The sequence below is a fragment of the Homo sapiens genome, chromosome 14 (assembly GCF_000001405.40).
Source record: "Homo sapiens chromosome 14, GRCh38.p14 Primary Assembly".
In the NCBI taxonomy this organism is placed as follows: Eukaryota; Metazoa; Chordata; class Mammalia; order Primates; family Hominidae; genus Homo; species Homo sapiens.
Window position 1 is genome coordinate 27,070,514 of NC_000014.9, and position 27,250 is coordinate 27,097,763.

General features: G+C 33.5%; 1 long non-coding RNA gene across 2 annotated transcripts in view; it reads left to right on the forward strand.

Annotated features, from left to right (window-relative positions):
- The first annotated feature begins 6,722 nt into the window (after window positions 1–6,722).
- LOC105370420 (uncharacterized) overlaps window positions 6,723–27,250 on the forward strand; it is a 129,914-nt gene continuing 109,386 nt past the window's right edge. The window contains exons 1-2 of one of the 2 annotated variants that reach the window (XR_943662.3): window positions 6,723–6,787; window positions 21,488–21,554. This is a non-coding gene — a long non-coding RNA (uncharacterized LOC105370420). The remainder of the gene's footprint in view (window positions 6,788–21,487; window positions 21,555–27,250) is intronic. The other variant, XR_001750686.2, reaches the window with a different exon arrangement.

A 27,250-nucleotide genomic window follows, 5' to 3' on the forward strand; every position in this document is an offset into this window, starting at 1 on the left:
GAAAAAGGGCAGAAAAAAATCTAGGGGAAATTAGTCACTGCACAATGCATGTTTATTATGTTGTGTTATGTTATTTATGTCATGTTGTGTTACATTATGTTTAAAACGTAAAAACAAAAGAAACATTATTTGTTAATCACTTAGGGAGCTGAATAAATTTAATAAGAATAAATCTTTGCAAACCATGTTTGTGGTTGTTGATTTTCATTACTAAAGCGATAGAAGAGGTGAACAGTGTGGATATAATATATCTGATTTCTGTAAGTCATTAAATAAATTCTACTGTAATATATTTAAAATAATATGGGAGATGGTAGACTGAATGAATTATAGGTTGGCATATTAATAGTTAATTAATCACCATTTCCAAGTATATTGTTGATAGATGATGATGAATCTAGAGGGAAATTGGTGGTGGTATCTTACAGCTTCATCTTGAAGTCTGCAGTAAGTGTAAGAGACAATGAAGAGTGGGGAGAGGAAGGAACTAATAGCTATTGAGGGTCTGCTATGTAGGCACTGCTCAACTTTAAACTATTATTAATGACTTACAGATATTATTATTACAACTTTACAGATAAAAATGAGTACATAACTAGCCTAGGTTATTTTATTGAATTTTGAAAGGTGAAGTTTGGAAGAATACCCAAAATATGGGATGAATAATCAGAATTATGAGATGAAATTAGCATATTAAATTAGATAATTATATAAGGCACTACATTTATATAGAAATACTTAAATTAAAAATTGTTACTGCAAATAGGACTTTCAAAATATTTATTATGTGAACAAAAATGTAATGTTTAAAATCAATTGGTAACAATTTTTGTTAACCATAAGGCACACTTCCCAACCACAAACGATATTACAAATTTGATCAGTAGAAGCCCTGGTACTATCCAGAACATGGGTGGTGACATCTCCACAATATTCTGTGTTAATTACGTAGTCTTGCCTATTTTGTTCACTTTGGGAATCTGCATATTAATAGACAAATTGACTGCTTGCCATTTATCTGGAGAAAAGGGATCTGAATGGAGAACTATCTGGACATGATGTTATATGTGGGATAATGGAGGGACTGGGGCTATTTAATAAATTAGAAAGTTTACTGTTTTAAATTTTTTAAGGATTATCTTGGAAAAGGTAGACTATTCATTCTACGTGACTGTAGAAATCAAAATTAAAACCATTTTTTAATAACTAAATAGATAATGGGTGTATAAGGAAATTCCTTAAACAACTTTAACATTTATAGTTGTTCAGAAGTATAAGGGTACTCATTTCCTATCAGAAAAAAATTCACACAGAGAATAGATCCCTCTGTGAAGTGTATTTGAATTTACTGAGAGGTGGGGATAGTAGTAATAATGTTCACTTTTGATTTTTATATTCAATTACATATTTCTATCCTGCTCCATGTATATGATGCATCAGCCATTGTTAACTGTTATTATCCATAATATATGTACATATGTAATATATATGATATATGATATTCATTAGCCCTTCTAGATAGTTGTCTTTTGGCTAATTTTGCAGAAGAAAAAAATTGAACAAGATTGATTAATGGAAACTCTGCAGTATTTTCCCAACAACATATCAAGACATAAAAGCAGAAATTTTTCTTTTTTAGAAACATTATCCTTAGAAAACTAATGCAGAAACAGAAATTCAAATATGGTATGTTCTTACATATAAGTGGGAGCTAAAAAATGAGAATTCATGAACACAAAGGAAAAACAGACACTGGAGTCTAGTTGAGGGGAGAGGGCAGGAGGAGGGAGAGAAACAGAAAAGATAACTATTGGGTACTGGGCTTAATACCTGGGTGATGAAATAAGCTGTACAACAACCCCGGTGACAAAAGTTTACCTATGTAACAGCCCTTCACATGTGCCCCAGAACCTAAAATAAAAGTTTTTTTGGTTTTTTTTTTTGTTTGTTTAAAGAAACATTTGATAGAGGAGGATTTATCAAGCATTCCATTCTATTGGTCTAATCTATGGCACTTGCAAATGTGAATCAGATATTTTTTGTATCAGATATTTTTTTCCTTGCAAAACGACCAAAAGACAATACTAGAATTTATTAGGCAGGAGCCAGGGATTTAAATATCCTGCTTCGAATGCTAATAGCGTCACCCAGCCTATTAAAAAACACTGCTTCACTTTAGGAACTAACTTTTGCTTCAGGAAAAATAATATTGACTAGTTTTGTTTCAATTATGCGTTCTGATTAGCAAGTCCATAGCTCATTCCCAGGACAGATGCGTGGTGAAGGTGGGGTGGACTTGGGAACTGTGTAAATATCCTTTGGCAGTGTCAAAACTGGCCTTCTTCACGTCTAGTGGAAAGTGTCCTTCATGTGGTTGGAATGCTTTCTTGGGAAACTTTGGGGGAACTTGGAAATTTGTACCAAAACCTGGTAATGTGCTACCTAACATCCTTATTTATTTAATGATCTATTTTTCTTTGTACTTTTCCTTAAATAATTATTTCTGATGATGTCTTTCCATTATCATATGTACCTTTAGATGTCCTGTATCATTTATAGAATAAAATCCACCAGAATTGATATAAAGGCATTTTAATAGGCAAAGTCTTCTAAATGTATATAAAATTATTGCTTGAAAAAACAATTTAGTAAATTCCAGTTATTTATTCTATTATACCTCATAGTTCAGTGGAATCAAAACCAGGGCAGAGATTCAGGAAAAAAGTGTGTTCTACCACTGTCATTTTGATCTCTGGGAAATTATTGTGATGTCTCTTTTACTCAGTCATGTTTGACAGTAAAAATAACTAATTATTGTTAAATATTGTTTTATTAAAATTAAAAACATTTTATAATGGAGGAAAAAGCTATGCAATGGAGGAAAAAGCTATACAAAGAGCTTGACTTTATTTTTAAAGACAGACAATTTCAGATTATTTAGTGTAAGTAAACAGATGCTTGGTAGTTTTGCTTTCTCATTTAAAGATGCCAAATGTGTAAACAACTCCCCAAAATTATGTGATCATCCCATAATCATTTCAGATATTGTTATGTAAGAAACATATCTCTGATAATACACATAAACGAGTCTAGTAAAACAAGTAAAGAATAATGAATATTAAACCCACTAACCTTAGGCTTTCTCTCCTCACACACAACACACACACACATCTTGTGACACTTCAAAACTCTCATTGAAATTCAGGTAACAATAGTAAACAGCACAGAACAAACCAATGGAATCCATTCAGAGCACACAAAAACAAATAAACAAAACCACCAGGCTCCAGCATTGTCAAAACTGTACTGCTGAGTTAAGAAGCCAGGCAAGAAAATCAATTTTCTCTAACACATGAATTAAATGAATAAAAACTCAATATGAAAACAGAGGAAAAATAACCCAGCATTCCTAAGCCACCTGAAAATGCTCCTATACAGGGAGGGGGAAACAGTGCTTGTGTGCATATTTTTGCTTATCTATTCAATAGACATTTATGAAGCAACTACTAATTACCAAGAAACAGTATTGAGCATTTGAAATACAGAGATATTAATTCACTTTTCCTGCCTTTGTTAGGCAGTTTCTATTTCACTGCAAGTGCAAGCTGTATTTTGGTACTACTTATGTTTTTATTATAGACATGATATAAAGTTGGAAATCAAGTTCTTCATAAGTACTGATACTGCTAACACAGACCGTGAGGTGATGGCAAATATTATACTATGAATTACTCATCATTTTATTCTAGACCATCTTACAGCCAGAGAAATTTACAATTCCACATGTACAATTTTTTTAAGTCATAATTGTTCTCTGTCAATTGAGAAAAGCATTAAGATTAAGATGACAATGACTATATCAGCTGACTATTATAAATAGGCTCTCAGAAACGAAGGAAAGTGTGTTTACTGACATAGATGTAGAGTATTCATAATCTTAAAACTGGCTGAAATGCACCAGGTATACAAATATAGCCAATCCTCCCACCTATTAGGTAAAATGCATGGTGAAACCTACATATGCCTATTTTGGGGCCCACTGATCTACGATAAAAAACTTTCGCAAAGGTTGCTTTGGAGTTCTGAATAAAAATTTCTTATCACTGTTTCTGACAAGGTCTTTGTATGTAGAGTTAATTACTGAAACGGCATGCGTATCTCAAATAATAGAAATTATGTTTAAAGAAATGTTTGGAAGAGCTAAAAATAAGCAAAAGAAAGAAAATAAAATAGAATGTAAATTCACCTCAGCCTGCTGAATTCTTTGCAGTTTTATGTTTTTTTCTCACACCAAGATCTCTTCTTTCTCCTTTCCGTTACTCCAGGAAGCTTTGTTTGATCCTCCCAGGCACAGTTAGATGCCATTTTCTTGTTCCTGTCTTCTTAGAAGACCTATTTCTCCTCCCTCTCTAGACCATGCACTTCTTAAGAGGCATTGTCTACTGTGAAAGAAGCCATGGCCAGAATATGTATATGCTTAAAACATTTATGGAATTGAATTTGATTAAAAATACATATATCTCTTCATGAAAAATAGTTTAACTAAGAATTACCAGTAATGTTTATTTCTTTTCATATCATTTTTCAAAGACAAACTACCACTTGTCAAAGTCTAAGACACATAGTGGAAGACTCAAATCTCATGCATTCTAACTACTGTTTCATTAGTTTTAAGGAATATTTGTGCCTTGAGACATGCCATGTGCAATAAATCATGGCTAACCAGAATATTTAAGGAAAATAATTTTAACTATTGGAATCCCTGTTTCCTTATTCCTCCTCCAAATAATATACACAGTGCTTTTGTTTAAAGTCTTGTAGAGACATGCTTTGAAATTTTGTCAGTTTTTTTTCTGTTTAAGTCTGTACAGGATAAGACTCTACAGTGAAGCATTTTCTTGATTATTCACTGACTGATAGGACTCATGATTTGGATATGAGAGATTGGGCTGAATCACGTTGAACCCAAGACATGACTTCTTCCTTCTATAGGAGGAAAAACTGAATTTGTAGTCATTTGCTTGCCTTAACTTTCCCTATTCTCTACATAATTTTGTGCATTAATCTACAGCTTTTAGGTATATTTGTTTCTATGGCATATAGATTTGTTACTCAAAGTAGTAGACACATAACTTGCCTGTCTTTATGTAAGGGATTCAAGGATAGCTTGGTAGCCTTATTTCAGAATTGCTGAGACATCACTTAAAGTTAACAAAGTTTGCTTTCATAGATTGCTTATGTGATTTAAGATGTCATTCCGCACTAAATTTGTAAATTGTCTTTTCTTAAGCAGAAGAAAGAATATGTGTAGGTTGTTTTTGGAGTAAAATGTATTATTTGTCTTCTTTAGAAAGAACACTTTTAAAATCAGCTACCAATGCCTCTTCAGTACCTCTTGCCTTGTTTTTGCTGCCATAGAAAACAGAACATCTACATAGTTGCTATCTGAGACTTTCTAAAGTGATATTGACTTCTGTATTTGAAAGCACTTAGTTGAGTCTTTTTTCATGAAAATGCATTTTATTTACAACCACGGCACTGGTGATATGACATCTAAAACTATCTAATAATTCTTGTATGCATATTTTACCTTATTTTTATTTCCAAACAGTAGAAGTCAGATCATCTCATTATACTACTCCCTTACCATCACTAGTTATTTACTTTAAAGATGTGCAAAAGTACATGAAAGAAAGAAAGAAAGAAAGAAAAGAATTTAGTTCAATGAAACAACAATATCCTGCAGAAGTCATTTTAAAATGCCAGTAGGGACTCTGAGAACAAATAAATTTTTTTTATTTGCACACAACTGATAGCTTAAAAATGTAGCTAGATAGAGACACTTCCCATGCATCCTCACCCTTTTTAAAAGATTGTACTTGTTACTTTGATATGTGGGAACTGGAGAAACTTATCCACAGATAGATAGGAAGTTTTCTCCTACAGTATTTCTTACATGCACAGGTACTAAATGATGCAGTGCCTAACGTTGAAAGATAATAATATAAATTTAGGGCTAAGCAGAGACATAATTTAAATAAGCAATCAAATTTAGTAATTTTTTAAGGGAACGAGAACCATGCCTCTACCAGAAAACTAGTTCATCATGAAAAATGTGGGCTTTTTTTACTCTACTCACATAAACAAATTTTATCATTCATAGTAAAATATGCAGAAAATATATGATGAGTGCTGGTTCATTTTGAAAGAGCAATAAATAATCTAACATTGTGCAATAAAAAATGAGGACAGTGCATCAAGAAGAAGTACTTTCAATGGCATATTGCAGAAAAAGAATAAACAAACTTATTTTCTAAAGCTACTCCACATGCTGCAGACTAATTTATTATTACATTATTATTTCCCTCTAGAATTGAAATAGTGTGGTTGAATAAGATTTTATAGTTATCAGGAGTTCTAAATCCTTAAATTTTCAGTGCTTTGCATTTCCAATTTTTTATATACTAAGAGGAATAAAATGTTCCAAGCTCTCTCCTTATTTCTGCTCAGAGATGTTGCAGAAGCTGTCACATGTGCTCAATCTAAAGCAAGTATATGGATAAAGAGATATATGATTCAAGAGTAAAGAACAACATCTCCTGTATGAATGTGTTTCTATTACTATAACTGACTATATAATCATTCTACAGATGTGTTGGGAACAGCTGAATATTGTATCTAGCACAGCATAATTAAATAAACACATTGTCCTTTGTGTTTCCAGGGAAAGAGTTGTAGAACTGCAGCTTTTGGCTGTTCTCCAGGACTGGTGGGCAACTGTGGCAAGGTATTTTTGTTCCCTGATGGTTGAAAACTGTATTTGACAAATGATCTCATACACTAAAACATGACTGAAAAAAAAATGGGCCTGTGTGTATTTGTTTATATTAGTTATTCATTAAGCATTGTTACCTTATTCCAATAATACTTGATGAAATGTCTCATCTGTATAATGAGGTATGTTTGCAGTTGTCATACCATATCTTGCAATATGGCAAAACCACAGTGTAAGGGTGTGTCTACTTCAAAATTACTTATTAGTGTCTGAATGTGCAATAATTGGGACAAAGTAGGAAATCAGATGAAGAGTCGAATGTGAAACTGTGTTGGAAGCAGAAAGCAGGCTACAAAGTGGGGAAAATTTTGTAGGGAGAGAGCAGATTTAAAATTCCAGGGAAAGTTCAAACAATATGACCAAAAAGTGTTCAGTCTTTAGATAAGAGGAAAGAGAAAACCTTCTAAATAATGGCCAGCTAGCCACAGGAATATAGAATTGTTCTCAGTGATTTATGTGAAGACATGCAAAATGCAACATAAATCAAATAGGAATAACCTTGAGTACATGTAAATGGTAAATCTTTCACCCACTCTTTAATCTTCTTACAACTGTGGCTGCTTGGCCATTGTTTTGAACAGAGGTTTTTAACCTTGGTGATATTGACATTTTAGGCCAGATAATTATTTTTTGTGAGGGGCGGTCCTGTACACTGGGAATGCCAGTAGCACTCCTGCCTAGTTATGACAACAAAAATGTCTGTAGACGTTGGTAGTTGTTTCTAGGGGCAAGGTCACCTGCAGTTGAGACCACTGATTTAGTCTCTGTCTCAGATACTAAAACACTGCAGCAATGGACAGGATTAACGTATTGTATGTCAACATTAGTTGTTGTGGCATCAAATTATACTTCCTCATAGACTGGTCTTGACCTTCAATCCAAGTTCATGAGAACTAGACTCCAGTGTGTGCTGCATTTTTCTAAAAAAGTAAACTTCTGCAGCATCTCATTTGCTTCTGCCTCTATATTGTTAATACAAAAACTATTCCTTCACTCTATTAAGAGATTACTCCACGCCTCTTGCTGATGTCATTCTTCTCTCCTTCTATTAATATAGTAGTTGCACTTTTCCCCTTGCATTCCATTCTAACAGTTGTCATTTCTATATTCATGATAAATTCAGCTAAGCCGGCTTGTGTACCTAGGATTCAAAGTAAGAAAAACAATCCACATCTACGACCAAGAGTGGAGTTTTATGCTTTCTCCAATGAGAAAACTGCAGAGCGGCATTGTCAAGAACACAGTGAAGGATAAGACTATCCACATCTGGCCTAGTCAAGGCGAGGTCATTCAAGACAAAGATGGCATTAGGTTGCACATGCTCCATTTTAAAACTAAAATTAAAGTTCCTGAGGTGATTTTTGAATAGAATTTATTCATACAATTTATGAATACAAATGTATGAGAAGTAGTTTGCTGTACAGTTTCCATGTGATAACTCTCATCGTCTTTATTAGAAAGACTATAGAAGAACAATATATATGTTATCACCATGAGCCCTTAACAGTATTTTCATCTGCAGTTATTCTTTCTGTCCATTGACTCTACATCTTCTAAAAGGACACCTAGGGGTCAAAGTGGACATCTAAAACATGTGCTACCTAATGGTTTAAGAAAAAGTCCTGTTTCACCTATCTTTTAGGATTTATAGCTTTTTGCTTTGCATAAAGCATTCAGCAGGTCTCAAGTCAACCACTGATATTATTTCTTTCTCCCTCTTCTATTCCTGTCTCTCTCTTTACTTTGCCTTTTACTGATGACCAAGCTTTGTGTTTAATTGAGAAATCAGATTTAATCAGATATATTCTTTTACCTTCCCATTACCAAAACTGTCAACTCACCTGCATCTGTAACTACCTACATTAATTTTCCCTCTTTTACTTTGAAGGAAGTGTCCCTATTCCAATTAAACCAGTAAGGTATGCCCTGAATTCAACCTCTCAAACATGACCTATGAGATTACCCATCTCTTTCTTATTTCTCTAGGGAGGTAAGGACAGCCTGAACTAAGATATCCGTAGGATCACAAGGTGTATATAGATGAATGATGGGATGGGGCAATATCAATAGGAGTTATTAATTGATCTTATTTGGACAATAAAGGAGGATACAGTGAAGATTATAGCACATTTTTGGAGCAAGTAGAGAGATGTCATTGACTGGACCTGAGGAAACATTAATCTTATGATCGTTGATGGATTCACACACACACACACACACAAATTCCTTCCTCCCTTTTCTAAGTGGGGTGTGGAGAAACAACCATAGTTTACAATGCATTTAGGAGCTTTCTTATGTATTCATGGATTTTCCCATTATGTTATTTCTGGAAGACTCATTTTATCATTCTTAACTTCAGTAGAGTCTTCTTCATATCCTAGTTAAAATTGTGCTCTGTGTATAAGGATGGTTTATATATACCCCTTGATAATGAAATCTCAGTGTTTTTTCCTCTTATGATGGTAGTGATTCTATCTTCTGGTACTTTGTAAACATAATGACTGTAAATTCCTTGGAGAGAGAAATTTAAAAAAATAAAAAATGAACACATATGGTTGTGATTAAACATCACATATTCCAGTTATTATGAATTCTACCAAATATATGGTTAGATGATATTCTCTCCACCCCACTGAGTTATTTTACCACAATATTAGATCTGTTTTCCATTTTCCTAGGGTTTTTGTTTTTACAGAATTTACTTACCAGTGTACAATTTTTATTTAAGAAATTCAGTGTTATCGTTGAAATCTACTGAATTTTCTTCTGAACTCTAAACTCACGTTTTAAAAGTTGCTAAAATAAAATGTTTTAGATAGATTTTCTAAAATAATTAGAGCTAATTACACACTTTAATAAAGATTCTAAAATGTGATGAATACATTTTCTTAATTTCTTTGCATTATAATACTCACATACGCTGTTCTCAATCTGCAACCAAAATATAAAACTCTGAATAACTGTCTTTATAAAAATCATAAAGAACAGTGATATGACTTGAAATTATAACATTACTGAAGAAATAGCATTAGCCTCTAGGCTTGCTTGGAGTAGAGATGGTTTCATCATGGATAATGAAGTTTTCTAGGTCTTGTATCACCTCTTCACTGTTTCCTCTAAGCTTTTCATTACTCCTCTGACTGTATGTTTAGGAACATTTATACATCTATAAGTTTTAGAAGTATTAATCTTCTAAATTATCCCAGGATTTTAAAATTAATTTTAATTGCTCTTCTTTGAAGAATTTACAATAGCAATGCAAACATCTACATCTTCGTAAAACTAGATTTATTGTTAAGTGTTTGGCTGTCAGTTTGACATAAAAACTTTCTGTAATAAATGCTCTCTAAAACATGAATCTGTTGGGAGTTTTCTTAAGTACAATGAATTATAAACAATAGCCTCAAATTATGCTACAATCCAAAGAAGAGATGGTTTGAATTTTCCAGTGATACAATACACATATTTGGTTACAACCTTATAGGATTCTGCTATAATAATATGTTCAAAGAATAAAGGTATTTTAATAAATACCTTTATTATTTTATTATTAATACCTTTATTATATTAATTATACCTTTATTATAAAGGTATTCTAATAAATACCTTCATACCTTTATTATTTATAAAGGTAGTTATTAAAATAGGTAAAATTTGATTTTTCTATTTCTTTCGTAATTACTAAGAGGCAGTGGTACTTAGTACTGATTGTTACTCAAAGAATGTCTTACATGCCTAAATCAACATAAAAAAGTGTCAAAAATATAACTACTATTCACTTTCATCTTCTCAGTATCATGTTAAAATAGCATAAACAGTTCTTACAGTTTTCTGCTCAAGGATCGTCGGGCACACTTGTTGATCTAAGCAAAACAACATGAGGAGTTAGCATGAAGCAGTGATCTAGCAATTAGAAGATAGAGATTTAATTTTTGCCAACATCACTTGTTCATTTTGTCACTTGGGCATTACTCTGTCTCTACCAACGTGGAATTTTTACTTCCACAATTGTCTTGTTTACTAGAATGTGTTCACAGGATCTTCAGAAAATATTAAAATATGATAGCTGGTAATGGTAAACCTTGCGTTTTACCTATTGACTACAGAAAGTGCTGTATGATTGAGTAAATGAAAGGTTTTGAAATTGTGAATAAGGCTGTTTTTTGTTTTCTCCTATCACTATTCAGTACATTATTCTTTGTTTAATGATGGGTTGAACCCAGAGGATAACATACTGCTGTACACATCTATATATTTCTCTGTTGCATTTACTACTTAAAGCAGTTTATTATTCACCTTTGCAACATTTCCTAATGTTTTTCAATGTTTATTGGCAATAGCAAATATGAAGTTAAATATATTGTTACTTCTCCTGTATTGTAAGGTTATTCCAAAGTTGCCTTTCTCTAATAATAAGACCCTGGAAACTTGTACATTTTAAATTTCACTTATCTCCAGATGTACCTTAATTATTGCATGTCTCATGAGTAGATTTTATTTGTTTATTTATTTGTTTATCACATTGCTCCATGGCAGACAAAATTGCATCCTAAATGGACTGCAAAAGTAATGCTTGTTCTCAAAACAAGAACTGAGCCCATACTTGATGAATATAACTGGCTTTTTCAGAAATAAAATAATTTTAAGGGTAAGTTGCTGGGAAAGCCCTTAAACTTAGCACGTCTCAGAAATTTGGCCCATGTTTTAAAAAAAAGTGTATTCACCTTAGAGTTTGAAAATATTTTAATCTATTAAATTAATGATCTACAGAATTTTTAAAAAAGAAATAGCTCTGTTATTTTGCCCTGTTTTATATCAAGCAATTCTTCAGTCTTACTTTACACTATCAGTTTATCAAGAGAGCGGTTTCATCTTTTCAATTGATCTCAATTGTTACTTTTTAAAAAAATATCAGCTTTGTATTCATTGATTTTTTTTAACTTTTAGGTTCAGGGGTCCATGTAGAGTGTTGTTATATAGGTAAATTGGGTGTTGCAGGGATTTGGTATACAGATTGTTTCATCACCCAGGTAATAAGCACAGTACCTGAGAGGGAGTTTTTCAGTCCTCGACCTCCTCCCACCCTCCACCCTCAAGTAGGCCCCAGTGTCTATTGTTCTCTTCTTTGTATCCATGTGTACTCAGTGTTTAGTTCCCACTTGCAAGGGAGAACATTTGGTATTTAGTTTTCTGTTCCTGCGTTAATTAGCTTAGGATATTGGCCTCCAGCTCCACCCATGTTGTTGCAAAATACATGATTTCGTTTTTGTTTGTTTGCTTTTTCATGGCTGCATAACATTCCATACTGTATATGAACCACATTTTCTTTATCCAGTCTTCTGTTGATGGGCATCCAGTTGATTCCATGTTTTTGCTATTGTGAATAGTGCTGTGAGGAACATAGGTGTGCATGTGTCTTTATGATAGAACAATCTATATTCCTTTGGGTATATATCACAATAATGAGATTGCTGGGTTGAATGGTAGTTGTATTTTAAGTTCTTTGAATAATCACCATACTGCTTTCCACAGCGGCTGAACTAATTTATATTCCCACCAGCAGTGTATAAAAGTTTCTTTTTTTTCTTCTTTTTTGCAGCCTCCCCAGCATCTGTTATTTTTTTACTTTTTAATGATAGCCATTCTGACTGGCATGACATAGTATCTTTTGTTGTGGTTCTGATTTGAATTTCTGTAATGATTAGTGATGTTGAGCAATTTTTCATATGCTTCTTGGCCACGTGTATGTCTTCTTTTGAAAAGTGTCTGTTCATGTCCTTTGCCCACTTTTTAATGGGATTGTTTGTTTGTTTTTCTTGTAAATTTGTTTAAATTCTTTACAGATGCTGGAATATTAGACCTCTGTCAGATGCGTAGTTTGCAAATATGTCTCCCAGTCTGCTTACTCTGTTTATAGTTTCTTTTGCTGTGTGAAAACTCTTTAGCTTAATTAGGTCCCATTTGATCAATTCTTAAATTTTTATAGGAATTTATTATTTTCACAACAGCAGGGGAGAGCCATTCTTGACAAAAATGCAACTGTCTGATGTTTATTGGAATAAGCATGTATTTCTGATATGGTGTGTTTTGGTATCTAAGAAAAAGAATCACTCTTCTGACTCTTTTTCCTTTTCTTGTGTTTTTGCTAACTTTTGACTTTGAAATACAGTGTATTTTCTCATTTTAAAATCAGTTTTGGAGTTTATTTACTGACCATTGATACCCATACGCAGAAATAATAGCACGTTATAAGAAAATTCAGCACCTAGTGAAAAAATCAGGAAATCTTCCTGGAATGTCAATACAGGAAACTCAAAAATAGTTAGATCCTGTAGAGGCATATTTTCCCTTTTCCAAACTGTCTGAGAGAGGATTTCATTTTGTATGCATAGAACAAAGTCTAGTGTATACATTAAGAGAACTTTATGACAACAGGGAATCTTTGTGGACTTGAAAAATCAATAAAATATTTATAAGAAAATATAGCTACTGAGTACATACAATCCCTGGTTATCATCTCATGTTATGGGTGATGGCTTCAGCTAACTTCAAGTTGCAAAATATAATTTATTACTATAAAATCACCCTTACTACAAAGCTGAGCTCTTTCAAGTTGATACAGGTTATTGCCCTGCAAGGAGGTAATGCCCGTCCCCACTCAGAGCTCAAACAGTTAACATTCAGCACTTGGGACCAATTTGGCTGACATGAAAGAACACCTGGCGCAGTAATGGCTCTTTACTGGTGATCTGTATATCACTACACTGAAGTTATAGAATGCCAGAAGTGCTTCAGATGTGAATTTATTTTGTTACTGGGCTTAATGCACCAACTTGAATTTTTAGATGAGTCACTTTTCTGTCAAATAAATTTGTCTTTTGATCATCAAGCACTTTAAAATAATGCTGATAAATAGGCAATGGATAAAAATGTGTCCGTTTGATCAGAGGTTTTCTTTCTTCCACTTATGCTGGAACCACTAAGATTGAATAATATTTCAAATCCATCTTGAAATGAAACAGGTATAGATAAATATGAATTATATAGGCTAGATAGAGCAACTGACCTTGGTTTTACATGGCTGGGTTCCCATACCTGTCATGCCTGGACATGCAGAACACTGGTCACAGTTAGTCTTTGCAAAGGATGCCCCTCTGTGCCTAGATCATGCGTAGTGGACACAGTATTTTAGAAAGCAATGGCACTCACATGAGATGGAAAGATGGAGTTTGGTTAAACTATCACTGAGTGCACAATTGGCACCACAGCCCATGGGGTCACTGGTACAGGTGGATTCAAAGCAAGTGAGGAGTTTGATTAAACCAACATTCTTAAATCGCATAAAGTTTTTGTAGTCAGTTAACTGAATAAATCATACTCTTACCTGCTTTGAATTTATGACTTTTCCCCTAATGACATTTAAGAGCTAGAATTCACTTAAGAGTTCCTCTAGTCCAAACTCCTTACAGTATAGGAGAAAACTAAATTTCCAATTCATCAAGGGGAGATAGTAAGCTACATAGCATAGTAGTGGGTGTCAAACTATATCTAAAATAAAAGTATAAAAATTTCCTTTGCAGTGATCCCTTTCCAAAATTCTATTCAAGTTCTCTTTACCTTATTAATGTGTTGGCAGCCACCTTTCACCTGATGATTATAAGAAACATCATAGGGAAGTGACCTTACAATTATGGAGTTCTGGTTTTAGTCTCTCTTCAAGTCCATTCTGCTGTAGGGATTGCACAGTTTTGATCCTGGCTTGTTAACCTCATTAGCATTGATTCTCAACACCTGTGCCTGTGGTTAGTTGGGGACCTAAGGTGCATGACTTCTTTGTACCAGGGACCACCACCAAAAACCATTTCTCTCATGACCCAATGGAATACGTGGAACCAGTGAATCTGGAATCAAGTGTGAATGTTGGACAGGATATTATAAATATTTTGTGCAGTCTACATTTTATGATATTTCATGCAATAGAGGTTTGGACAACAGGCAAAGGAAAAGCAAATGAAGCTATTTTCTTTTGTCTCTTTCTTTTTTTTGTACTGAAGTTGATGGGGTTTTATTTGCTTTCCTAATGAGATGGTGATTTACATGTTTTGGAGAACTGCTATCTCTGTGCCCTCTGTGCATGGTTTTAGCCTTGCAAACCTGAATCAGAGGCATGTGTGAGTCCAGAGCAGATGTGTGCAGCTGGGCAAACCTCTTTGCCATTGCTCTTCCTTGGAACGATAATCCACATGCTGAGATTTCACATGAGTTTAATACACATTTTCTTGATTAATGGAAAATGGCAGAGTGTAGGAGACTGAAACAGTTCGTGCTTTGCTTGATTAATTAATAAGGGACTCTCTTTTCCCAGCTTCGACTCATTATGCTAATGAAGTGTCATCAATTAAGGCTTTCCCTTGATTATTGAATCTGTCAGGTAGTGCTCAGTGAAAATGTTGCATTCCTTTGCTGTCTGGGTGGAATTGCCATTACAGCTTTTTATGAACTGCTCCTGCCATTAGCTGCTGTTTGTTCTATTTTCTCATTATTGTATCTTTTTCTTGACCTTGAGAGAAGTGACTGTGGAAAGCCTGGAATGAACTGAAAGATGTTATATCTGGGAGTACAAGTTGAGAAAATATGTCAACAGAAAGATATACACCATTCTTCATTCAGAAACCACTGGTAATTATTAATGATAGAGTAAAAAATGAATCAAAAGAATGTGTTGAAATTTCTGAAGTAAGTCTTTGGCATTGTCATTAGATTAGATAAGTAGTTCAGAAATAAATTATCATTAACCATTTGTCATCCTGCTCTTCACGTTGTATTTTAAGAGGAAGAATTTTTCCTAAGGGAAATATTCTGTGAACAAAAGAGTGCATATTAAAATGTGTTTTTTTTTTCTTCAGGTAAAGTTTTCCTTTTAAAAAAAAAACAAAAGCAAATATTACTTGGATATGGAACCAAGTAAAGATGACAGAAATGTAAAAATAGTAGAACATAACCTAGGAAAGCTTGTGGGTTAGGCTTAGTAAACAAAATTTTTGTATGTCTTAGTAGCCTTTTCTCCCCGACACTGAAGATGAGGCTTTGAGTATGAACCAGCCGAGCAACAGGAGTCAGCTCCTGTTGCTTAATACACCCATTAGGGGACATCTTACTTTAGGATTAAGGTGGTACTCGTTAGTGAGAGACTCTAAAGCCGTTTTAAAAAGTTGTGTGTAGTAGAATACCGGAGTAAGACACTTACAATCACCCATCCCGTTCCCATTTTTGTAACTGACATCTTAGGGGAGCAATAATAATGAATTAATTTATTTTTTTTCTTTACCTAAAGAACAAAATAGTTTTATATTTTTATGGTATATCCCTGGCCCTAAAATAATTATTTTAAACTAATGGTGTCATCTGTTTAATTAATCCATCAATGACTCAGTTTCCCTAACTGGAATGAGAATATAATGTTTATTCATGACTACTCTTCTGAATATTTCGGATATAAATCAATGAAAAAGTAAATGGGATACTCTACTTTCTTTTAGGGGAAAAAAATTACACTGTTTTGCTTGGTTTAAACTGCAAAATAAAATGATGTTTTTAGAGAGGGGATTTTACATCCAACTGATTAATTTCAATTATTTCTGGTAAAATAGACTTTAGGGTGTGAATATATATGAAGTTTGCAGATCAATAAATACAGTTATTTTTTAGATGGACAATGATATGTGTTTAATTCATAACCAAGGGTTTTTAAAAAATATATAAAAGGAAATAGAATACAATCAGTTTAACAAACATGGCTTGAAAGTCAACATTTTGCCCATTCTCATGCCATCATTCCTCTAATAAACTTTATTATTGGTAGGAATTGAGCATGAGGAGACGCAGCCTTTATAAGTATGTAAATACACCAATGCTGGAGTCAAAGAGCCTGAGCATGAATCTTAACTCTCTCCCCTTTACTAGTTTTGTGAACATGAACAATTTACTTAACTGTGATATGCTTCACTTTTCTCTATCATAACGAAAGGAGTACCTGCCTCATTCAGTTGTGTACTAAATGAGTTAATAAATGTAAAGCTTCTAGAAGCATATTAGTACAGATTAAATGCTATAAAAAACATTTGGGAAATATATTTTACTGACAAATCTTACTAAATTTTAGGATCACATAGATAGGTGTTCAGAATCTATCTCTATGGACATCGTTATTATTTTATTTTTCCATTTTTGGATCTTGAGTAATGAGATGATATTTAAGCCTCAATTTTCTTTCTTTTTTTTTTTTTTAATTGATTTTTTGAGACAGAGTCTTGCTTTGTCGCTAGGCTGGAGTGCAGTGGTGTGATCTCGGATCACTGCAATCTCCACCTCCCAGGTTCAAGCGATTACCCAGCCTCAGCCTCCCGAGTAGCTGGGACTACAGGCACGCACAACAACGCCCAGCTAATTTTTTGTATTTTAGTAGAGACGGGGTTTCACCATGTTGACCAGAATGGAGTTGATCTCCTGACCTTGTGATCAGCCCGCCTTGGCCCCGCAAAGTGCTGGGATTACAGGCGTGAGCCACTGCGCTCAGCCATCTCAATTTTCGTATCTGTAAAATAGGCATAATGATAGAATCTACCATATTTTGTTTTACAAGGATTAAGTTCTGATACATAATCAGTACTTAATAAATGTAATTATTATCTCCAATTTTTGTTTACACATTGAACATCGTTGCCACATCAAAATAGTTTATTTTTCTTTCTTAAATTCAGTATATAATAAAATCATTTTCTTACAAATGCTTCAGCTAGAAACAGGTAATGTCATATACTCTAAGATTTGGTTTTAAAAATACATTATTGGGCATATACTTTGCAGTCTAATGTTCTCTTCTCTTGCCACAGCAAAACCCTGAATTATATCAGAAAAGCAAACATAACAACCTTAATAGAAATGGATTATATAGAAACAGAAAATCCCTCCTACTGTTAAAATATATTAGTTTTCTTAAAAAGGAAAGTAATATTTACTTTTGACTGACATAATTATAGCTAAGGCACAGAGTATCATAATTTCAAGTTTTATTGAAACTCAAAAGTTTACTCCATTTTCTACTAGGTTTTTTTTTCTTTTTTTCTTTTTTTTTTTTTTTGCCAAAATAAACATTACTCTTTCAAGCAAAATATAAAAACTTTGATCCTAATTTAAAAGTCTTTTTCAGTATAATCATCATCATCATTATCATCATCATTATCTTCATGATCATCACAACACATATATGTGAAGTGATTTGGGTAATATGTATTCATTCAAATAACTGAACAAAGAAGTCTTTTCTCTCAATGTATAAAATGCAAATTACGAAATGACTGTAAAATTAGAGGCTACTGTTGCTCTGTACTTAGAATTTATTTTACTTTTACTATTCTTTTTCTTCACCTACTTTTGTATTTTCATAACATACTTAGTTTTTTATGAATTATGCAACCACTTTTGAGAAATTCAAAAGCAAAGTAGACACTTGCCCACCTGCCCCTTTTACCTGGGCACATAGCTAAGCCTATATTCTCAAATTCCTCTGAAGATTGCTGTAACCATGTGACCAAGCATTCACCAGTGGAATGACAGAGAGGGTAGTATGCACATTTCTGGGTCTATAATATAAAAATCACTCATTAGCACTCCTTCACACTGCTTTTCCTTCCTTCCGTCTTAAATAGAAACCCCCAGAGTGCCTCAAGCTTGATCATTGACCTGAAATTTCACAGACAGTTACATGAGAATGCTATTGTCTTGAAGTATTATATGTTTAGTTCTATCGTCCGTAGCCCAGCTCACCAAAACTAGTAGAAGAAACATAATATTGAAATGGAGTGCTGACTTAAAAAAAAACATGTGCTATAACATAAGCAATTTTTGCTCTAACAGCAACAACAACAAATTGGAGACTATGTAATATACACAGCAAGTTGCAAAGATGTACATTTGGGCTATGTTTGGAATGTTTGGAGGCAAAGCATTTTGGAAAGTCATCCGTAGTTACTTGGAAAGCAGACCAAGTGGCCCCTGAACATTTAGCTAAGGGAAAAGTTGAAAAAAGTAAAAATATTAAGAAATATGTGACTATTATTTGCTGCACTGAGCCATGAATTATAAGAAAGAGCTGAGCTTAGGCAAGATTTAACAGGTTTTAAACAAAGATTGAAGGGAAAAGAGAAATCCAGAGATTAAAGCATCATAGGGCTGGAAAACCGAACTACTCTGAGCCCTGAATAAGGGGAGATAAGACTGGAAAATGCTCTGAGAACCAAAGGCATATTAAGATAGTATAATCAAAGGGCTTCGGTTTGTGCAAAAATCAGCTTAAGATGTCTTGTCTTCTCATCCAGTCCTATTGTTTTATACGTTCTTAAAGGGAAAAGAGAAAGAGAGGACAAACATATGTGGAGGGAGAGGAAGAGCGAAGAAAGCCAACTTGATAGAGTCAAAAATGATATCTAGGAAAAATATTTGGCAGCATTTATTAGAGCATAGAAGTAACTTGAATATGGAATTTATCTGAAATATGTACATTTTTAATGGAGTTGTATGCTTCAGCCCATAAAGTTATTAACAATTCAGAAATTTGAGTGATGTGGATATGAAAAATTTAGTATTATTTTACAAATTTCTGTAAGTCTGTTGTTAAATTAAAAGTTAAAAAAGCCTCCCATCCCCAGTAAAGAGCAAGAATATGGACATAGGGTGTGTAATAATAGATACTGGAAACTTGAAAGAGTAGAAAGTTATTTAATGTGTACAATGTCAATTATTTCCATGATGGTTATACTAAAAGCCCAAACTTCACCACTAGGAAATATATCCACCTAACAAAACTGCACTTGCACCTCTTAGATTTATACAAATGAAAAAAATAAAAATTTTAAAAAGAGCAAGAATAATAGAACAACAGCAAAAGTGTGTGTGTATGTATGTGACATATAGGAGAGCATGTGTGTGTATGAGAGAGAATGTGGCATAAAAAAAAGCCTGAGGTCACAGGAATTTCACCAGCAGGAACATGGCTGTCCAAATCATGAAGTTTCTAAGTAGGGCATTCTCCATGTCCCTGGGAAGTGGCTTTCCATGGTGCTTGTTTTGCAGGATTTGTCCTGCCAAGATCTAGGAACTGAACTGTTCTATATCTCCTTTTCCCCTTTCATGAATATGAGTTTTCATCTTGCTCTTGCTGTGATGCTGAGCATGGTGGGAGAGATTCCATATCTTCTCTTTCGATTCATAGGTCATTAGAACAAGCAGAACAAAATTTAAACCTAATGGACTTTGAGCTGACTTCTGTAACTGGAGGGTAGCTAGGTTGTCTCACTTGGCTAGGACTAAGTGTTTTCTCAATGGAAAAAGTTGCACACTCGGGTGAAGGGGCCAACTTATTTGATGGCTATTTGCAGTTCTCTCAGGAACAGATTCTTCTTTTTCCTGGACTACATTTTCCAGTTTTCCTTTCAGATAAATATGTGCATATGACTGTACTCCCTTTTAGCAAATAATGGGCCTCCCCTTGCCTTGATCTCCTAAATGCAGTCCTTTGTGCTCATTTCCCCTTCTGACTGACTTAGAGTATGATCCCCAGGGAAATCATGCAAACTGCACACTGACATTAGAGAAGTTGCCCTCAGCCTTGATACTCACATGATTTTGTGAAGTAGACGATCCCTGTATATTTGTGAAGTAGATCGATCCCTGTATATTTGGAAATTCCCTGTACTACACAATTTCATTGTGTTGATCTATTATATATTTGTCCAGTTGTTTTCCTAGCCTATCCTACGCTAATGAGCACAAAGGATAAAATCCAATTGGAATTGTAAGGATCTAAGAAATTTATTAATCTAAATTTGTATAAATCAAATTGGTTTAGGGGTTATTTAAAAACCTCAACTTACCTACAAAATATTTCCAAATTTATGTAGTAAGTGAAAGATAAAATTAGGCTAAAACACCATTAGAAATGATAGGTGGTCTATATTTCCTAACACTGTACTGATGGCACTTAAAATTATGTTGAATTTATCTTTGTCCTAATGTTAAAAAGCAAAATAAATGGTGAAAAGTCTCCTCAAATCATTTTGTGACTATATCTAGACTGGGCGGACAACACTATTACTACTTGTCACCTTGCTATTATATTCTATAATACTAAAGTGTTAGAAAAATGTCTGTCATCATGTCATTTGAAAATAAAATTTTTACCATTGATTCTTTATATCTCTGAAAGCAGAATTTTGTTACAGTGATTCTGAATGTTTATTAGCAAAATATTTTTGCAAACCAAAAAAAGAAAGAAGAGTTTACTATTCACATTTACTTCAATAGAAACATTTTTCCTTTATAAACCTCATTATAGAAAATCAGTAATTTGGAAATTAAGTGAGTGTATCTAAATATTGGATGTTATTCTAATATAGAAATAAAAACATTTAAAATTAATAGTTTCGTGTCAACAGCACAAACTGTAATTTGAATTTCTGATATGTTAGCACTGTTTTTAGTTTCATGGAAACTCTTTACATTTATTTTACTTTTGGGTGATCTAAATTGCAGTCTCAGGTGCTGATTTTTTTGTTGTTGTTTTTTAACTCATTTTGTTTTTCTTGATACATCCAGGAAATTGAAAAGTAAAGTAGGAAACATAATGTCCTGATAAAAAAACAACAGGGCTTCTTGTGCTGAGGTAAGTGCAAGCAGTAATTCTGCATTGCAGTTATTACTACGAAATCAATAAGTATAGAACTAGAAAACAAATGTGTCTCTCTGGAGGTTTAATCAACCAGCAATCTCCAATAGTGCCCTTCTGTGAACATAGTGTCGTTTTTATGAAGAATTTATTAACTTACGCTTTATTTTTGAATCAGGGCATGCAATTGCAATGTCATTATTTAATGGTTAGACAATACTCTGTTGATTTATGTGTGGATCATGTTTTAAAGGCACATTCAGGAACGGGAGGACAAAATGGAGAATGGGCCGAATTCTCTTCAAATAAAATACGTAGTAAGGTTTAAATTTGTGCTCTTACTCTTTTAAACAATGATAAGATGACAGATTATGTAGTAAAATGCATGTCCTACAGGTTTACAACGTGTTCTTGTTTAAGTAATAAAACTAATACATGTTTATTATACAGAGTAAAAAGAAGAAAATAAACTTTACCCATAATTCTACCAGAAAATAGTTACTTTTCTGTGTAACTACTTCCAATCTATTTACCCATCATCATCATCTGTCTATCTCTGTCATCTGTCCATTCAGACTCTTTTAGCTTGTTTGCATGTGTACATGTGATATATGTATTTCTTTGTTCTTTTAATTTTTGCCAAATTGCATTATACCATTTATGAAATTTTATTTTCTCCTTTTTGCACTTTACATGTATTTTTAGCATTTTCCATATCGTTAAATATGCTTCTAAAATAAAACTTTAGATAGCCACATGGAATTCTTTATTTAGATGTACTATTTATTCATTTATTTATAGTCAGACATTTGCGATTTCCAATTTTGCATCTAATTAACATCTTTTCTGCAAACATCTTAATATCTCTTATTCACAATTCCTGAGCTCAGGTTTTATTATTTTATTATTGTAGGTTTTTAGAGATATAATTTCCTGCTCACAAAGAGGAAGTTCTTTGAAAGGCTTTTGCATTAACTGCCAAACGGTTTTAGAATAGGTATACTAATATATATTCCAAGTGTGTGCAGGAGGATCTGCTTACTAGCCAACCTTAAGCATTATTTTTATTAAAATATTTGATATTTGACTAAATTGTATTTTATTACTCTTTAAATTTCAACTCAGATAACATTTATTATATATCTTTATTTGGTTAGTTGTCAATTGCATTTCATTTTTACAATGTATATTTTTAATATAAATGATGCAAACCATGATACTTACAAATGGAGGTAACACTAGATATTTTTTCCTTGTTTCTGAATTTAACAGACCTGCCCTTACATTTTAACTATAAAGTGTGGTATTGAATAAAATCATAACATAGCCTTTAATTGAAGAACAAAGGGAACATAATGTGCTTATTTTTCACATTATTTTTTCCTTGTAGTTCTGCTTTGCCATGTCACTGCATCATTTGTTTCAAAGGAAAATGGTTCAAAAGAATCATTTATGTAGAACTGAAATTATCTTTTTCTGTAATATACAACCATATGAAGCAAATTGCCATTAGGAATATTTTTCCTCACTAAAAAATATGTCTTTGGTTTAATATAATAAAAATCATCTAAGTTAGACCTCAATAAACGAGGGTGTGGATTTAATTACTTGTGTACAAGATGGACCATATTAAACATTTTATCATCAGTTTTTAAAGGTCTAGATATGCAAATTGTTGTGAATTTTAAAGCAAGTAATTCTTAATCTACCTAAGATAAACTATTTTTAAGAATTTTAAAAATATGATTTATATGCAAATATATTATGTGCTAAGTTCCGCTGTTTCTTGTCTGCATAACAAGCAGGCTTGACAAAAGAGGGCTACTCAGCAATACTGTTGGCTGCTGGTTTGGTGTTATGCTATTGATTTTACTTCTAGATCAATTATGCTTTAAAAAAATGATGTAACATATCCAAGTAAGTATTACTGCCTTCAATATTGTAACTCTGAAAGTTTCTATTCTGATTTTAATGATACTATCACTATTTAAACCCTATGTAAATATTCTCCTTTGGAAATATTTTAACGCCCTCTACAATACTCTAAATATTTTAGCTAGTTGCAACTTATTATTCATTTTGCAAACACAAAACCTGTGGAACCAAGTAGTGTGTAGGGATATATGCACTATACAGTGTTGATCCAACACTGCTTCACAAAAAGCGCCATGTGAGCAAATGATTTATTGATAAAGCACGTTGTCATTGAGCATTCACATACGCTTCGTTAATTTGAATCAAATATAATCTTTCAAGTTTCTCAGATTTTAAACATAATAAACTTGATTGATCATTTGACATTTTAAAATCAATATTGAATGACCACTATCAATTATTTAAAGTCTTTGTCTCAGGTTTTGACATATAATCACTTTTACATCTTGAAAATGAGAGAGTATTCCATGACATGCCAAAATTTTTTTCAAACGCATTTAATTATTATTATTATTATTATTTTTATCTAGCATGTCTTGAGCTTTGAAGTTTCTGCTCTGCACTCAAAACATATATGTCACCATCTTAGAAGAAACTTTGTTCTTATTCAATTATTTTTCACATCAAAATTATTTCCATACTTAATCAGAATTCAGATTTTAATTCCATATATTAAATGTTGGACATTTTAAACAATGTCTTTGTCCCTGTAAACTTATTCCTTTGTTTGTTGTTGTTGTTGTTAGTTATTATTCCAATAGCCACCAACTCTATTCAGATTCACATCATTTTACAAGGTCTATCACAATATTCATATATACAGTACCAGATAAACACTCACTGAATAAAATTCCAATATTATAAAGTGAAATTGAGACTTCTCCCTCTTTGAAATGCTTTCTTCCTAATCCTACCCCATATCTGCTACCTTTTCATTAAAGAGGCCTCTGCTTTACTCAACTTTCCCTCTTCAGTTAATTATTCCCTATAATAAAATGCATTCCATTTTTTGTGTTCATGCAGTCTCAAAGAAGACTCTCCATCTCATCTTTCACTTCCCCATATTTACATCATATCTTTTCTGTTAAACTTAGGTAAAAAATAAAACTGAGCACCGTTTGAAAAGTGAAATAAAATAAAATAGGGTTTAACTCTTGATCTAGTGTATGTGAAACTATTTTGTTATAACTGAAGAGTTATGTAATTGAGTGGCTTTGGCAGCAATATTAAAAATTTACTAATTTTAAAAATGATGACATTAATTACCAGTTAATTATGATTACCTGCTCAGACATATAAGCAGGATTAAACGTTCAACAAGTGGCCTTAGGAATGCACAGATTGGAAATTCTTGTTATTCAGTAACCCGTTGCCTTACTTAGATGGGGTACCCCGTGATATGATTGGGAAGATAAATCCATACTATGAAGACAGGGCAGAGCAAATATTTAAATTGTTGCACCATTATTTTCGTGAACTTGACCCTAATAAAATGGTTGGTACTAACATATATAAAAGATGAAATCCTCAAAAGCCATTGATAATCTTGATAATACTACAGGAGTGAAATCTTTAGTTAGAGAAGGGGTTAAAGTTATCTCCCTTGAACAACCATTAAAATATCTGTGTTTTCTAAAACTGCTTCGTAGTCACAGTTGTTTTTTCCTCTTTCATCCTTCACTTCTTTCTTGGGGGATTTTATCTATGCCTAAGAATAAATAAGCTCTGCCTAAATATTGTTGACTTAAAGCTCATCTCTAGAGCCAGATTTTCTTGAGAACTGTATACTCTTTTTTTTTTTAATCAAACTTTCTACTAGATATCTCCACATGATTGTTCCACAAACAACTTCATGTCAGTACGTCTAAAACTCAGCATCATTTTTCTTTCAAAATGTCTTCTTTTGTCATGGCCTCTGTCCCAGTCTAGATCCTTAGTTTATCTGTTATCCATTTCTCACCGGGATTATTACAATTGTTTCTCAACTGGTTGTCCTGTTTCTTGCCCACTAACCAATTTAATATCTCTACGGAGCTAGGTTTCTGATTCCCACATGAAATTATGCCATTTCTGTGCTTTGATTGCTTAAGTAGCCCCTTATCCTAATGTGATAAATTATAAATTCATGACACTCTGGAAGACTACCTTTACTAGGAACTCGATACTCTCACCTTACCAAAATACCACTCTGCTCTAAACGTTCCAGCTTTCTCATGCCATTTGGCTTCTGCACATACCTTTCTCCATGACTGAAGAACTCCCCAACTCTTGTCTGACTAATAATTTGATAAACATTTGTTAAGTCTCAGTCACGACTCATCAGTAAAGTCATCTCTCACTCCTCAAGGTACACTTCTGTTTCCCTTCTGCCATGCACCAAATGAATCTGCTACCGTTAAGTTGCACTTTATAGCAATGACTATCTTATATGTTAATTTATTAATTATCTTCCCATTAGAGTATAAGCTCCCTTGAAGTAAAGGAGCATGTTTTGCTATCTTTTGTTTTTATCATTAAGCATAATGTTTAGCCTATGAAAGACTCTAGTGCAATAATATCCAGTCTCTTTGGGGGGACCACAGTAGTGTTGGATATTCAGATATATTCAGATCTGTGGTGTACTCCAGTGCACCCATCACACTTTCAACTTTAGAAATGACCCATTTATCTGCTTTACATGTCGCTTTATAGAGAATATAATTAAAGGCAAAAGTTTTTACATGAAACAGATTTTTCCGTGAATCCTTCTCTAATATTTTGTAATTAATTAACTTTAGGCAAGTTACTGAATATTGAGTCTTTAAAATCAGAGTCAACACCTATACACTGAAGAATTGTGTTGCAATATCTGGAAATATTGGAGAAATTGATGCTTGCAGTAAATCTGAAAAGTCTTCACATTTAGCTGTGAAATTAATTCTTCAAAGCAGAGCTCAGAGAGATCTGAAAATACTATCATGAAGGTAAAGTGAGTTTGTACAAGGCTCTGCAAAATCCCCACATGTGACAGAACCATGCATCTTACAACTGCGACCTTCCAAAAATAATGTCTTCTGCTGCATTTTGCTTTTGCCCTCAGTAAACACTACAGCAGGTAATGATTCTTCAGCTAGTATTATAAAAATGTACTCTTGGTACATGACCACAAAATGAATCGTAGGATACACTGGCCAGAGGACCAAGATAATTGCTATTTGCTGGAATAACCTCCCCACTTCCAACCAAATTTGGGAATGTTTACTGGGTTATAGGAGAAACAAACAATTCCTCTAAGTAGAAAGTAAATAAAGAAGAAAACAGATAGATTAATACGCCATCAGTGACTTTTTTTTTCTTTTTCTTTTTTTTTTTTTTGAGATGGAATATTGCTCTGTTGCCCAGGCTGGAGTGCAGTGGCGCCATCTCTGCTCACTGCAACCTCCGCCTCCAGTGTTCAAATGATATTCCTGCCTCAGCCTCCCGAGGAGCTGGCATTACAGGCATGTGCCACCATGCCCGACTAATTTTTTGTATTTTTAGTAGAGGTGGGGTTTCACCATGTTGGCCAGGCTGGTCTCAAACTCCTGACCTCCGTTGATCCTCTCCCCTCGGCCTCCCAAAATGCTGGGATTGCAGGTGAGTCACCGGGCCCAGCCCCCCTTTCTTTTCATACATGGTATAAGAAACCGACAGACAAGCATTGCAAGTGTGGAGATCTATGTTGTCTTGCTGCTACCCAAGCCTGCCTCTTATGTAAGTTTCCCCTGAATAAATGTTTG